Source organism: Homo sapiens, chromosome 8 (assembly GCF_000001405.40).
Source record: "Homo sapiens chromosome 8, GRCh38.p14 Primary Assembly".
Taxonomy (NCBI): Eukaryota; Metazoa; Chordata; class Mammalia; order Primates; family Hominidae; genus Homo; species Homo sapiens.
In genome coordinates, this window is record NC_000008.11 from 142,893,543 (window position 1) to 142,908,937 (window position 15,395).

The 15,395-nt window shown below is 43.3% G+C and overlaps 3 annotated features.

The window, feature by feature from the left end:
* Positions 9,916–15,395: part of a biological region, named in NCBI's record as "CYP11B2 recombination region", that runs on past the window's edge. NCBI's record gives its function as "recombination_partner: LOC106799833".
* Positions 9,916–15,395: part of a meiotic recombination region, noted in NCBI's record as "this region was shown to have an elevation in recombination frequency within the YRI population as shown in HapMap data", that runs on past the window's edge. NCBI's record gives the evidence for it as "EXISTENCE:nucleotide sequencing assay evidence [ECO:0000219][PMID:20981099]".
* Positions 10,920–10,935: a nucleotide motif, noted in NCBI's record as "nucleotide motif; similarity to the predicted 16-mer PRDM9 C-type binding motif, CCNCNNTNNNCNTNNC".

Below are 15,395 nucleotides of genomic sequence, written 5' to 3' on the forward strand. Positions count from 1 at the left end.
GTTGACTTTCTGTCTGGAAGATCTGTCCGATAGTCAAAGTGAGGTATTGACGTCTCCACTTACTATTGTATTGGGGGTCTATCTCTCTCACCACAGTGGGGAATCTGCTAAGCTTCACCTGAAGCCAGCAAGTCTCAGATTCTCACCTAAAGCCCTTGATGAAGAACCTGGGTATAGCTGCTTATTATTCAAGGTCCAAGGTCTCTTTAGTTAGCAGGTGATGATTCCTGCCAGACTTGGCCCTTCCCTTCAAGGCAGCAGGTTCTCTTCCGGCCCAAGGTGTGTCTAGTAATGTCATCTGAGAGCTAGGGCCTGGAAAGGGGACCTCAGGACTCTGACAAGTGCCCTATCCTGCTGTGGCTGAAGCTGGTATCCAAGATGTAAGACAACGTCCTCCCCTTTCTTTTCTCTCCTCTCCTCAAGTAGAAGGAAGGGGTCTCCTTTGGAGCTTCAAACTGTGCAGCCTGTGGTTAGGAGAGCGGTGTGATGCCAGCACTCCCTTATCTGCCCCAGCTATTGCCTAAGTATCTCACGTGCCCACCGGTCCACTGGCTCTGGGCCCAGTTCAGCAGCAGGAGTTGCAGTTCTTGTGGCCTAGACTGCCTTTCAAGTTTGTTTAGAGGTGCTTTAAAGGGTACCTCCAAAGTCCAGAGGTCCCCTTTATTTAGAGGTGCTCTAAATAAACTTGAAACTCTAGTCTGTGGTAATGAGGCTTGAGGCAACTCCAGTTTGTACCACTGGGATCAGCAATTTTCCTCTGGCTGGGGCTGGGTTTTGTTTTGTTTTGTTTTTGTTTGTTTGTTTGTTTGTTTTGGTCCTAACCCTCAGAACCTGTGAACTAGGGCTGGTTTAATGCTCCCTCCATGAGCAGGCATCAGCTGGGTTTGGTCTGGTTTTGCTTTCTGCTCTAGTAGGATAGCACTGAGTTCACTGCCTCACAATTGCTGCAGTCTCCCTCTCCCAGTGCACTGAAATGCACTCCACATCACACCACGGCTGCTAGGGGGACAACTGGCTCAGCGTTCTATTCCACCATCTTGCTTTACCTCCTCTCCCCCTCTCCCTGATTTCTTAATAAGGTTTTATAGTTTTCAGTGCATAGGTCTTTCACCTCCTTAGTTAAATTTATTCCTAAGTTTTTAAAATTTTGTAGCTATTATTAATGGGATATTTTTTCCTTCTTTCTTTTTTTTTTTTTTTTTTAAGAGATTGGATCTTGCTCTGTCACCCAGGCTGTAGTGCAGTGGCATGATTACAGCTCATTACAGCCTTGAACTCCTGGGCTCAAATGATCCTCCCACCTCAGCCCCACCCCTAACCCCCTGAGTAACTGGCATTACAGGCATGAGACAGTGTGCCCAGAAAAATTGGGTTTTTTTATTTCTTTTTTTTTTGTATAGTTTGTTACTAGTATGCAGAAATGCTATGAATTTTTGTCTCTTGACTTTTTTCATCCTGCAATTTTATTGAATTTATTTTAGTTCTATCAGTTTTTTTTTGGTTGCAGTCTTTAGGGTTTCTATTTATAAGATCATTGTCATCTGCAAATGAGGACAATTTAATTTCTTCCCTTTTAATTTAGGTGCTTTTTATTTCTTTCCCTTACCTAATTGCTCTGTCTAGTACTTCCAGCACTATGTTGAGTAGAAGTGGCAAGAATGGACATTTTTGTCTTATTCCTCGTCTTCCAGGAAAAGCCTTCAAATTTTCACCATTGAGTATGATATTAGCTGAGAGATTTCTATGTATGGCTTTTATTGTGTTGAGGTATGTTCCTTCTACACCTAATTTGCTGGGAGTTTCTATTATGAAAGGATGTTGAATTTTATCAAGTGTTTTTCTGCATCTATTGAGATGATCCTAAGGCCATTCTTTTTTTAATGTAGTGAATCACATTTATTGATTTGCATATATTGAACAATTCTTGCATCACCGAAATAAATCTCAGTTAATCACGGTGAATGTTCCCTTTAATATGCTGTTGAACTCAGTTTGCTCGTATTTTGTTGAGGAATTTTGCATCTATGTCCATCAGGGATATTGGCTTGAAATTTTATTTTCTTGTGATGTGTTTGTTGGGCTTTGGTATTAAGGTAATACTGGCCTTGTAAATGAGTTTGGAAGTATTATCTCCTCTTCAATTTTTTGGAAGAGTTTGAGAAGGTTTTTTTGTGTTTTTTTTTAAGGTTTGGTAGAATTGAGCAGTGAGGCCATCAGGTTCTGAACTTTTCTTTAACTGGAAATTTTAAATCACTAATTCAGTCTCTTACTTGTTATTGGTCTGTTGATGTAGCAGGACAAGCCACAGACAAAACTCCTCAGACACCGAGTTAAAGAAGAAAGAGGTTTATTCGGCCGGGAGCATCGGCAGGACTCCTGTCTCAAGAGCCAAGCTCCCTGAGTGAGCAATTCCTGTCCCTTTTAAGGGCTCACAACTCCAAGGGGGTCTGCGTGAGAGGGTCATGATTGATTGAGTAAACGGGGTAGGTGACAGGGTCTGCATGCACCGGTGGTCAGAGTGAAACAGAACAGACCGGGAAGTTTTACAATGTCTTTCTGTAATCTGTAGATAACAGCAGTTGCTAGGTCAGGGGTCGAATTTTAACTACCAGGCTTAGGTCAGGCCCAGGCTTGGTTTCGGTTCTGGTTTCTTGGATTTGGGTCTGGTTCCTAGGCGCCGGGGCACCTGCCTTTAGTTTGGCTTCTCTTTCCTTTTCAGAGTATAAAACAACATAAAACAATATGAGAAGGTCTGTCTCTCTTCTCTCATTCAGATTTTATATTTCTTCATAATGCAGCCTTGGTAGGTTGTGTGTGTCTAAGAATTTATCCTTTTCTTCTAGGTCATCTAATGTGTTGTTAATCAATAATTCATAGTAGAATCTTATAATGCTTTGTATTTCTGTGGTTTCAGTTACAATGTCTTTTCTTTCATTTCTGATTTTACTTCTGAGCCTTTACTTCTGATTTTACCCCAAGTCTTCTTTTTTTCTTATTTGGTATAGCTAGAGGATTGTTGATTTTGTTTATCTTTTCAAAAAACCAACTCTTAGTTTTGTTGATTTTTTGTATTGCTTTTGGAATCTTTATTTTGTTTACTTCTGCTCTGATCTTATTTCCTTCCCTCTGCTAACATTGGTTTTATTTTTTTCTTTATCTGGTTCCTTTGGGTGTAATGTTACATTGTTTATTTGAGATTTTTCTTCTTTTTTCATGCAGGCATTTGTTGCTGTAAACATCCCTCTTAGAACTGCTTTTACTGCATTACATATATTTTGCTCTACTGTGTTTCCATTTTCAGTTGTCTCAACATATTTTAAATTTTTTATTTAAATTTCTTCTTTGACCCATTGGTTGTTCATGTTGTTTAATTTTTATATATTTGTGAATTTTCTGTAATTCCTGCTGCTATTGATTTCTTAGTTTTATATTGTTGCCAGAAAAGATACTTGATACGATTTTAATTTTCTTAAATTTAAGACTTGTTCTTTCATCTAACATATTATCTATGTGGGAGGATGATCTGTGTGCACTTGAGAAGAAGGTGTACTGCGCTACTGTTGGATCGAATGTTTTGTATATTTCTGTTAGATTCATTTAGTCTAAAATGTATTCAATTCTGATTTATCCTTATTGATTTTATGTCTGGATGATCTGTTTATTGCTAAAAGTGTTGTATTGAAGTCCGGCCTAAGCCTCCCACAGTTCTGGGATTACAGGGGTGAGCCACCATGCCTGGCCTGATTCTATTTTTAAATAGCTTTATTGAGAAGTTATTCACATACCATATAATTCACCTACTGAAAGTATACAATTAAAGGTTGGTAGTATAGTCACAAATATGTACAACTATCACTACATCCAATTTTATTAATTTCTAAAATCGCCAAAGAAATCCAGGACTTCAGCAAAAATGCGGTGGGCAGCTCTAAATGTGTGACCCATCACAGTAACATTCAAAAAACAAGCAAAAACTGCACAAATTAACTTTGTCAGGGCTCTGGAAAATAATTATTTCTGGCCACCACATAAATGCTACATGAAGAAAGTGACAACTCTTACATTGTAGAGAAGCTTTCCTGTATCTTTACTTGCTCTGGCTTTGCCCACCCCAGATCAGTGGCTGTCTTTGAAGATGGCAGCTCAAGCTACCAGTGTGGGATGCTGGGGTCTGGAGACAGAAGGATCAGGGCAGCGCTTATTCCCCAAAATTGTCATTATTTGTTCTAACCTTTCTGTGGACTACCTGAGGAACTGATGCAAGGGCCTTGCCTTTGTTTTGCCTAACTTGGAATGTATTCAAGTGGAAAAGTAGCTATGGAAGACCCGCATCAAAAATATTGTAAGGCAGCTGAGTAACCTGATATCATCAAAGGCAAAAGATTCAACTTGAGGAAAGAAAAAAAAACTTTGTCAAAACACTAGAAGAAAAAGCTTGGAAGAGTGTTTCTTTGAGAAGCTAGAGGATTTGAAATGCCAACCTATGCTGGGAAATCTAGAAAACCACAAGCTCCTAGGGCAGGACAGATGCTAAGACAGTGTCTAATTATAATCCTCCTGGCTGTGTTTACAGGAGTGCCCCGAAAACAGGCCCAAACTGCAAAGACAAAGACAGTGTTGGCTGTGTTTACAGGAGTGCCCCGAAAACAGGCCCAAACTGCAAAGACAAAGACAGTGTTGGCTGTGTTTACAGGAGTGCCCTGGAAACAGGCCCAAACTGCAAAGACAAAGACAGTGTTGGCTGTGTTTACAGGAGTGCCCCGAAAACAGGCCCAAACTGCAAAGACAAAGACAGTGTTGGCTGTGTCTACAGGAGTGCCCCGAAAACAGGCCCAAACTGCAAAGACAAAGACAGTGTTGGCTGTGTCTACAGGAGTGCCCCGAAAACAGGCCCAAACTGCAAAGACAAAGACAGTGTTGGCTGTGTCTACAGGAGTGCCCCGAAAACAGGCCCAAACTGCAAAGACAAAGACAGTGTTGGCTGTGTCTACAGGAGTGCCCCGAAAACAGGCCCAAACTGCAAAGACAAAGACAGTGTTGGCTGTGTTTACAGGAGTGCCCCGAAAACAGGCCCAAACTGCAAAGACAAAGACAGTGTTGGCTGTGTTTACAGGAGTGCCCCGAAAACAGGCCCAAACTGCAAAGACAAAGACAGTGTGATTATTTTTCTTGTCTTTTTATTTTTCCCCTCTTTCTTTTCTTTTCTTTTTTTCTTTCTTTTCTTTTCCTCCTGGTGTTCAAGGAGAAAATCTCTCTCAAATTTGTCAAAACATCAGATTAATGCAAGCTAAAGAAATAGATTCCACTATTGCCTTATAATCCTTTGTATTTCTGTGATACAAATAAACAGTAGAAGACCTAGAGAAAACAAATAGAAAAATTATAGAAGTTGTCTTATTTATCAGTAATTGCTTTACATATAAATGGTTCAAACTCTCCATTGAAAAGGCAGAATGGATAAAAATTGTGATCCACTACATGCGGTCTTCAACAGATTCACATCATATCCAAAGATGCAAATAGGTTGAAAGTGAAAGGTAGAAAAATGGTATTTCATGGGAATAGTAACCAGGGAGCTTGGATGGCTATGCTAATATAAGACAAAATAGTCTTTATGTAAAAAAGTTACAAAAGACAAAGAAGGTCATTATATATTGATAAAAGAGTTGTGGCCGGGCACGGTGGCTCACGCCTGTAATCCCAGCACTTTGGGAGGCCGAGGCGGGTGAATCACGAGGTCAGGAGATCGAGACCATCCTGGCTAACACAGTGAAACCCCGTCTCTACTAAAAATACAAAAAAATTAGCCGGGCGTGGTGGCGGGCACCTGTAGTCCCAGCTACTTGGGAGGCTGAGGCAGGAGAATGGCGTGAACCCGGGAGGCAGAGCTTGCAGTGAGCCGAGATCACGCCACTGCACTCCAGCCTGGGTGACAGAGCGAGACTCCGTCTCAAAAAAAAAAAAAAAAAAAAAAAAGAGTTCTGATGGTTAATTTTATATGTCATTAACTAAGCTATGGTATAGTTTTTGGTCAAACACTAGTCTGGATTTTGGTGGAAAGGCATTTTTAGGTTTTACCATCATTTAAAGAAGTAGGTTTTGAGTAAAGCAGATTATCCTCCAAGTATCCTCCTGCAGGATCCATCCTGTGGTTATCGCCACAATTCAAGCAGAATTGGAATATTCATAGTCAACAACTGGCAGAATCCCCACACTCGTTCCCTCTTCTATGCAGTGAGAGATATTATAGTGGAAAAGACCAAGTAGAAGCCATTAGAACTGTGTCTACCAAGAAAAATAGCCAAAAGCGTAACATTCCTAGACGGATGGCAGAGATTAGAGCTACCAGTCAGAACCTGAAAAATGCACAGGTGAAGATTCCTGCCACATCCCCATTCGACTTTCCTGTTTTGCCTGTGCAGAAGACAGATGAATCTTGGAGAAAAGCAGATTTTTGTAAGATTAACCAAGCCACCACTCCAATTGCAGCTACCGTACCAGAGGTGGTTTCATTGCTTGAGCAAATGAACGCATGCCCTGGTACATGGTATGTAGCTACTGAGCTGACAAATGCACTTTTCTCCATTCCTACCAGTAACGAACACCAGAAGCAGTTTGCTTTTAGCTGGCAAGGTTAGCAGTATACCTTCACTGTCCTCCTCAGGGATATATTAACTCTCCAGACTGATTATAATTTAATTTGTAGGCATCTTGTCATAATTTACTTTGTAGGGATCACCTTTCCTTTCTGAAAGATACCACACTGATGGATTACATTTATAACATAATGCTAATTAGACCCAGAGAGCAAGACGTACCAATTGCTCTAGACTTATTATTAAGACATTTGTGTGAAAACACCCCAGGGCCTGTAGTGGGGTGAGGGGAGGGGGAGGGATAGCATTAGGAGATATACCTAATGTAAATGATGAGTTAATGGGTGCAGCAAACCAACATGGCACATGTATACATATGTAACAAACCTGCACATTGTGCACATGTACCCTAGAACTTAAAGCATAATAATTAAAAAAAAAAGACATTTGTGTGAAAGGGTGCTGCTGTGATTTGAATGTGTCCCCTCCAAAATCCAGTTGTTGCCGGTTTGATAGTATTAAGATATGGGGCCTTTGAGAGATGGTTAGGCAGTGAGGGCTCCACCCTCGTGAATGGGATTAGGTGCCCTTGTAAAGGGGCTTGACAGAGGGGATTTTATCCCCCTTATGCCCTCCGACTTCTACCATGTGAGGACACATTGTTCCTCCCCTCCAGACGATGCAATGTTCAAGGTGCCGCTTGGAAACAGAGACCCAGCCTCCACCAGACGCTGACCCTGCTGATGTCCTGATCTTGGACTCTCAGCCACCAGAACTGTGGGAAAATAAATTTCTGTTCTTTATAAGTTACCCAGTCTCTAGTGTTTTTGTTAAAGTACACAAAATCAACTAAGACAGATGGGAAATAAACCCAACAGAAATTCAGGGCCCTTCTACCTCCATGAAATTTCTAGGAATCCGGTGGTGTGGGGCATGCCTAAATATCTCTTCTAAGGTGAATTACAAGCTGTAACATCTGGCCCCTCCTGCAATCAAAAAGGAGGTACATTGCCTAGTAGACTCTTAGGACTTTCATGGTAACATATTTCTCATCTGAGTATGATCCAGCCCACTTTCTTTTGACCTAAAGTGCTGCTACTTATGAGTGGAACCCAGGACAGTGGAAGGCTCAGCAACAGGTCCCGGCCACCATGCAAGCTGCTTTGCTAATTGTGCCACATTTTCTAGCAGATCCAACAATAACTGAAGTGTCAGTGGCAGATAGGCAAGCTTTCTGGAGCCTTGGTCGGGCCCTGTAGGTTAATCACAGCACAAATCCCTGGAATTGCAGCACAAAGCTCTATCAACCTGTGCTGATAACTACTCTCCTTGGAGAAAGAGCTTTTGGCTTGCTCCTGGGTCTTCGTAGAGAATAAACACTTTACCACGGGCCACTAAGTTACCACGTGACTGCCTTTGATTCGTGGGGTGTTACATAAGCCACTAAGCCTTAACATACCCAGCAGCACTCTATCAATGAATGGAAGGAGTATGTTCATTTGGCCTCGAGGAGGCCCAGAAAGCACAAATAGGTTACATGAAGAAGTGGCCCTAATGTCCAGGTTGTCCACAATCCTGCTACACCATCTTCTCTCCCCAGCCTGCACCTATGGCCTTACGTGGTTACCTGTATTTCGTTGGCAGAGAAAAAGAAAACTAAAGTCAGGTTTAGAGATGGTTCTGCAAGAGATGTCGTTATCGTCCCAAAACAGACAGTCACAGCAATGCAGTTACTTTCCGAGACGTCCCTGAAGGACAATGGCAGAGGAAAATCCTCCCGGTGGGCAGAACTTTGATCACTAAGCCTGGTTGTTCATTACACTTGGAGGGAGAAATGGCCATGCATGCAATCATATACAGATTTATGGGCTTTTGCCAATGATTTCGCTGGGGGGTAAGGATCTAGGAAGCAACACAACTGTAAAATTGGTGACTAGAGATTTTGAGGAAGAGGTATGTGGATAGATCTCTCTGAATGGGCAAAACATGTGAGGATATTTGTGTCCCATGTGAATGCTTACCAAAGCGTGATCTCAGTAGAGGGGGATTTTAATAATCAAGTAGATAGGATGACCTATTTGTGAACACAAACCAGTCACTATCCCCGGCCATGCCTGTCATTGCCCAATGTGCTCATGAATTAAGCAGATGTGGGAACAGGGAAGGGGGTTATGCATGCTCAGCAATGTGGTTTTGCACTAATGGTGCCAAGCTGGCTACAACTCCTGCTGAGTGCACAATCTGCCAGCAGCATACACCAACAGATAGCTCACAGAATGATACGGCTCCCTGGGGAGATCAGCCAGCAACCTTGTGGCAGGTCTATTACATCCAGCCTTTTTCATCATGGATGGGAAGCATTTTGTTCCTATTGGGATACATACACACTTTCTTTGGATATGCATTTTTTCTGCATTCAATGCTGCGTCAAAACGATATATTTTTATTTCATCTCTTATAACTTTAAATAAAATAAGATGCATTGACTATATCATAGTATTTATTGTACAGAATATCAAGAAGAATAAACACCACCAAGGGTTTTTGCAGCTTCTTCTGGGGAGAGGATTAGGACAGTTGTATCATGTTAGGTGAAGTATGACCTTGCTTTTATTTTTATTTGAAAGTTAAGTATGATTTAAGGAGCTGTGTGTGGGAGCCAAGATGAGAAGGAATGGAGTGTGATGGTTGGTTTTAGGTTTCCATCTGGCTAGGCTATGGTACCCAGTTTCAGTCAATGCATGAGTCTGCTATGGCTGCTGTAACGAAGTGCCATGGATTGAGTGGCTTAAATGACAAACGTTTATCTCTCACAGTTCTGGATGCTGAGCAGTCCAAGATCGTGGTGCCAGAAGGCTTTGTTTCTCCCGGGCCTCTCTACTTAGACCGTAGATGGCTGTCTTACCTCTGTGTGCTCACGTGGCCTTTTCTCCATGTATGAGCACTCCCGGTATCTCTTCCTCTTCTAATAAAGACACTAGCCCTATTGGATTGAGGCCCCACACATGTGACCTCACTTAATCCTAATTACCTTCTTAAAGGCTCTACCTCCAAAGATAGTCACACTTGGGGCTAGAGCTTCAACATATAAATGAGGAAGGGCACAATTCACTTCATAAAAGTCAAAAACCAGTCAAGATGTTGCTGAAAAGAAATTTTTTAGATATGAATAAGATTTAAATCAGTAGACTTTGAGTAAAGTAAATTATACTCCAGAATGAGGATATGCCTCATCCAAACTAGTAAGTCCTTTAGAGGATGGCTGGAGGTCTCCTGAGGAAGAAGGAATACTGCCTCCAGATGGCCTTTGAATCAAGATCTCAACGTTAGCTTTTCTCTGCATCTTCATACTACTAGCCTGCCCTGCATATCCTGGACTTACCAGCAGAAACACTCACATGAACTAATTCTGTAAAATAAATCCCTCTCTCATCTTGATTCAGTATTTCTGGAGAACTCTGGCTTATTCTAGGGAAGACTCATCAAAAGATATAACAACTGTAGACATATACGTATCAAACCACAGAGTCCCAAAATATATTCAGAAAACGTTGGGGAGGGAGTTCCAGACGGCCAACTAGAAGCAGCTATTGTGTGCCACTCCCTGGAGAGGAAACAAGGTAGCCAGTAAACACTAGCTCTTCAAGCTCATCATCTGAGAGACGCTTCCTGATTGGGCCTCAAGCAGGGAACCCACAGAGAACAGAGAGGACTGAAGCTTGCCCCATGCTAATGCTTACCAAAGTGTGACCTCGATGGAGGACGATTTTAATAATCCAGTAGATAGGACAATCTGTTCGTGAACACCAGCCAGTCACTATCCCCAGCCAACCCTGTCCTCACCCAGTGTGCTCATGAATTCAGCAGACATGAGAACAGGGAAGGAGGTTACCGGTATGGAGCCAGGAGAAGCTCCCTAACTTGGGGAAAGGCTGAGTGAATGAGAGTCCACAAGGGATCCATACTTCCCTCATGGACCTTTGCAATCCTGGGCATGGGAGAACCTCTCTGATGCCCCAACCCCCAGGCCTCCAGACTGACACAGAGAACTAGCTGGAGTTTTGCAGAGGCGCTGCTTAAGCCCACATGGAGCCTCACAGGCCTTGGATCCCCGAACAGCCTTGTGCCAGCTGCCATAGCCCCAGTAGAGCACACAGCTGTGGTGCCAAGGAATGGCCAGACTGCTGTGCTTCTCCTCACCACGCAAGGCTCAGCTCAGGTTTCCAGCGCAGTAACCCCATCCCCACCTAAACACTGTCGGGGGCACAGCTCTGTGTTCTCCTGATATGCACCCACACCACAGCCCACGTGATGTCCCCCAACCCCCACTGTTCTTTGCCAGGCAAAGCTTACTGGCTTGTGCTTCCAGTACAGTAACCGCACCCCCGCCTGGACACTGTGGTGAGTTGTTCCTCTGTGTTCCTCTGGGTTAAAACTCCCGGAGTTAACAGACAATGCTTGGCACCTTTGCATGCCCCCAGCAGCGAAGTTTAGCATGCTTGGGTAGGAGGAAAGTGTCAGCATGCCACATATCCCACAGCCACCAGTCTCCATGGACCCAGCTGAGAGGTCCTGTCCTCCCCAGTGAAAGGTCCGCAGCATAGCTGCCCTGCCCCTGCCTGAACATTTTATCTGCAGCTCAGAACCTTTCTGAAAACCCAGCCCCTACAGGTCTGTGATCTTCCTTCAGCCTCCCACCACCTAAGCATTCTGCCTGCCCCTGCCTGAGAGTTTGGCCAGTGACTTGGGGACCATCCTGTCCCCTTCCCTATCACAGCCAGCACCTGAACCCTGAGCCAGCCTGACACAGGTCCAGCCCCTTTAGGACTCATGCATGCTGTCCAGTGGGCCATCCAGAGGTCTGGGAACTGGGGAGCTACCTACCCCATTCCAACTCTGCTGACACCTGACCACTTCCCCCAGGGCCTGAGGTCAGACCAACCCTGCCAGCTGACAGCACCACAACCAACATCCGCCCGCACAGGCCCAAGTTAGAGCCTTTACAAGAAGCAGCAGCACTGCCACATGGAGACCAGGGCAGCAGTACTGCCACATTGGGGCACGGGGGGTCACGTTTCAACATGAGATTTGGAAGGACACACATCCAAGCCATATTAACCCTAAAGGAGACTTGATCCCTCCTTTGACAAACACACTTTGTCAGTTTCCTCTCAGGCCCCCTGGCATCTCTTTTGACCACTTTTGATGGCCATAAGGTGCCCAAACTGCTCTTCTCGGCCCTGTTCTGTACATCATAAAAAGATAAAACACGACAAAAACAAAACAACTTTCTACCTATTGAGGTCTCCTGGAAAGAAGCTCTCACAGACCCTGAGCCAGTGACCCTCCATCCCCAGCACCCACCATGCGTGGGTCATGGAAATAGCACCCCACAAGCTCACCCCAGCTACTGAGGACACCTTTGGACAGATTGGAGCCAAAACTCGGACCTCTGCATATTCCACCTGCAGGAAGTGGAGGCTTTCCCTTTTTCCCAAAGGCATTAACTAAGGGAATGGCAATGAGCCATTCATCCAGAGACTACTCAATAGCACTGCCAATCAGCATGAAGTAATGGCATCAGTGGAATGCTGCTGCTTTAGCCAGGGCGTCCTCTATGAAGAACAAGACCTAAGGGTCAATAACATTGGCCAACCTCTGGCTGTCATCCTAACGCTGGATGTCCAACAAATGTCCCCATCTTCCTTCTTACTACTAATGGCTGGATTATGTCTAAGAGTTGGCCCCTTCAAGGTAAAGCACTCTGGGAATCTCTTGCCTCACAGATACTCAAAATATAAAACAAAATCACCTGTCTCCACATACACTAACACCAGGACACTTCTCCTTAACTTACAAGTTTTACTTATAGTAACCAGAGGACATATATCACTTCTCAAAGTACCCAACTGTCTTGGAAAAGACAGTCAATAGAACTTTCATTTCCCTGATATGTCCCCCAAATTTAATTTAATTTAATTGATAGAAATATATTCTCCTCAAACAACTCTTTTTCAAATCCTAGTCTGTGTAACAATTGGTAAATTAGTAAAGTATATGTAAAGATTAGTGGCATTTGTGTGTAACCAAGGAAAAAGAGTGGTTGTGACTGGATCATATTGTCACATGTCCCTGAAGAACATGGATCATGTCCCTGACATGGATCATACTGTTGTTCCAGGCCCTAACCTCTTCTTACTCCAGGCTGCTTGACTGACTCATCTCACACCAAGTTTTAAAAGTTTTCAGTTTCCCTTTCTTATTTGTAAAGGGGCATATGTGTCACCTTCATGTATAGGAAAACTTTTTATGTTGACTCCCCCATCTTTGTAAATTTTGGATCTTTGTTTGCCAACCCTCCTCATCCCAGGAGGGTTGGCCACCAGACTGGGGGGTGAATTATTTCCTGGGATCCATTAACCATGGATTGTACCATGGGGCAGGCATCTGCTCATCCGATACAGGACCCATTTGAGCCCAAACCTTCATCAAATCCAAAAATATAAACAAAAAACTGTTAAATGGAATCTGGAGGCTCAGCCCTCCTAATGTGGACCTCAGCACTTGTCCTGCTGGGGCTGTGCTGAGGTCCACGTGCCATTGAGTTTGGCTGATAAAAGCCTTATGACCAAAAGGCCCCCATGGCTTGACCTTCATTAACCACGCAACTTAGGCTCAGGGCCATTGCAATTGACCAAATTAGTGGGCCTGCCCTAGAGAGCATTAATGCTGGAGCTCAGCCTCAGGCTCATTATAAAACCATAGAGCTATAAACACAAGACCCACATCAACTCAAGTAGGTATCCACTAAAAAGAAAATGTTACTTGCACATCCCAGATGGCATCACTCTGGCCCAGGAGAACACCCAGGAGATGACATTGCCTTGCAGGACCTCAACTCAGCTCAAGAACTTGCCATTGGAGAAGATTTCTCCCCCAACTCAGGACACAACTTCATCCCAGGCTCTAAAATCTCAACTCCCCAGCAATGCCCATGACTGCCTTTCCTAATCTAAAAGTGAAGCAACAAATGAACGCACATAACTCACTCCATTTTTTGTTTAAAGGGCCTTTACTGATTCCTGCACATGGGCGAGGATAATTTTAAAGCATTGAGTTAATAATACAAAAACAGCAGTCATGTACTTTTTAAAACTAACTCTGAGATCAAAGGAAAAGCATGTAAACAGTTAACTATGTTTTGTTAAAGATTTACAGGGGCATTGAGACCTGACCAAGGACAAAGAAGTTTTCAGCCTCCTCGGACCCTTGCTGGCTCCTTGGAGTCTGTGGTCATTGGTCACCTCTCAATCACACCTCCCTCCTCTTCCTTTTTCCCTTAACTAAAAAGAGCCTAAAATTTGTACTGTATTGAGATGGTCTTGGTGACACTAGTCTGCCGTCTCCTCAGGTTGCTGGCTGTTGAATACACCTGCTTTTCCTCCCACCAACTCTTGTCTCTGGAGTTTAGTTTTCATGCAGCAAGCAGCCAAGCCTGGGTTCAGCTACACTAAGGCATGAACTGGACACAGGACATGGATTGCTTTTCTTTCTTTGGTTTTAGCAATTGTAATGAGTTTCTGCAGCTTGCTGACTGCTTAGCCTATCACGTTAGTTTGCTTTGGCTGCAATAACAAAGTACCCTGGACTGGGTGGCTTAAACAACAGAAAGTTGTTTTTTCACAATTCCAGAGGCTAGAAGACTTAGATGAAGGTGTTCGGGGGGATGGTTTCTGCTCAAGCTTCTCTTCTTGGTTTATTGACCAAATCACAGAGACACCCTCTGTTTGTGCCTGGGTTCTAATCCCTTTTCCTCCAAGGACACCTGTCATATTGGATTAGGGTCTACCTCAATGACCTGGTTTCACATTATTTATCTCTTTAAAGACTCTGTCTTCAAATACAGTAATATTCTGAGGTCCTGGGCTTAGGATTTCAACACAGAAATTTCTGGGAGACGCAACACATGTATAACACCCATGATCCTTATAAAATCCCTGATCTCCAGAACCACCCACACCCCTACACTCCCGTGCCGAAGAGACACCTGGAAAAGGTTGATGGTCTCTGTGCCACTCTGAAAATTAATGGAGATTATCACTTTCCCCAGAAGGTACTTGTCTCATATCAACATCTTACCTCCAGGGAAAGGACCACTCACTCTCCAGAAACTTCTCCTACTAATCTTGTCCAGGATTCTACCGTGACCTTCTACGCTGCATCTCTAACCATCACAACCACTCTTTTTCCTTGGTTACACAAAAATGCCACTAATCTTTACATATACTTTACTAATTTACCAATTGTTATGCTCCAAAAACATAATTGATCAACCTGCTACCTTGACACAAGCAACACACCAAGTATTATTCTTCAAATATATGTGTAGTTCTCAGGTGTATTGAAATTATGTTGTACAAATTCAATGCAATTCCCATCAAAATACCACCATCATTCTTCACAGAACTAGGAAAAACAGTCCTAAAACTCGTATGGAATCAAAAAAGAGCCCCCATAGCCAAAGCAAGACTAATCAAAAAGAACAAATCTGGAGGCATCACATTACCTTATTTCAAGTTATACTATAAGGCCATAGTCACCAAAACAGCATGGTACTGGTATAAAAGTAGGCACATAGACCAAGGAACAGAATAGAGAACCCAGAAATAAACCCAAATAGTTACAGCCAACTGACCTTCAACAAAGCAGACAAAAACATAAAGTGGGGAAAGGGCATCCTATTCCACAAATGGTGCTGGGATAATTGGCAAGCCACATGTAGGAAAATGAAACTGGATC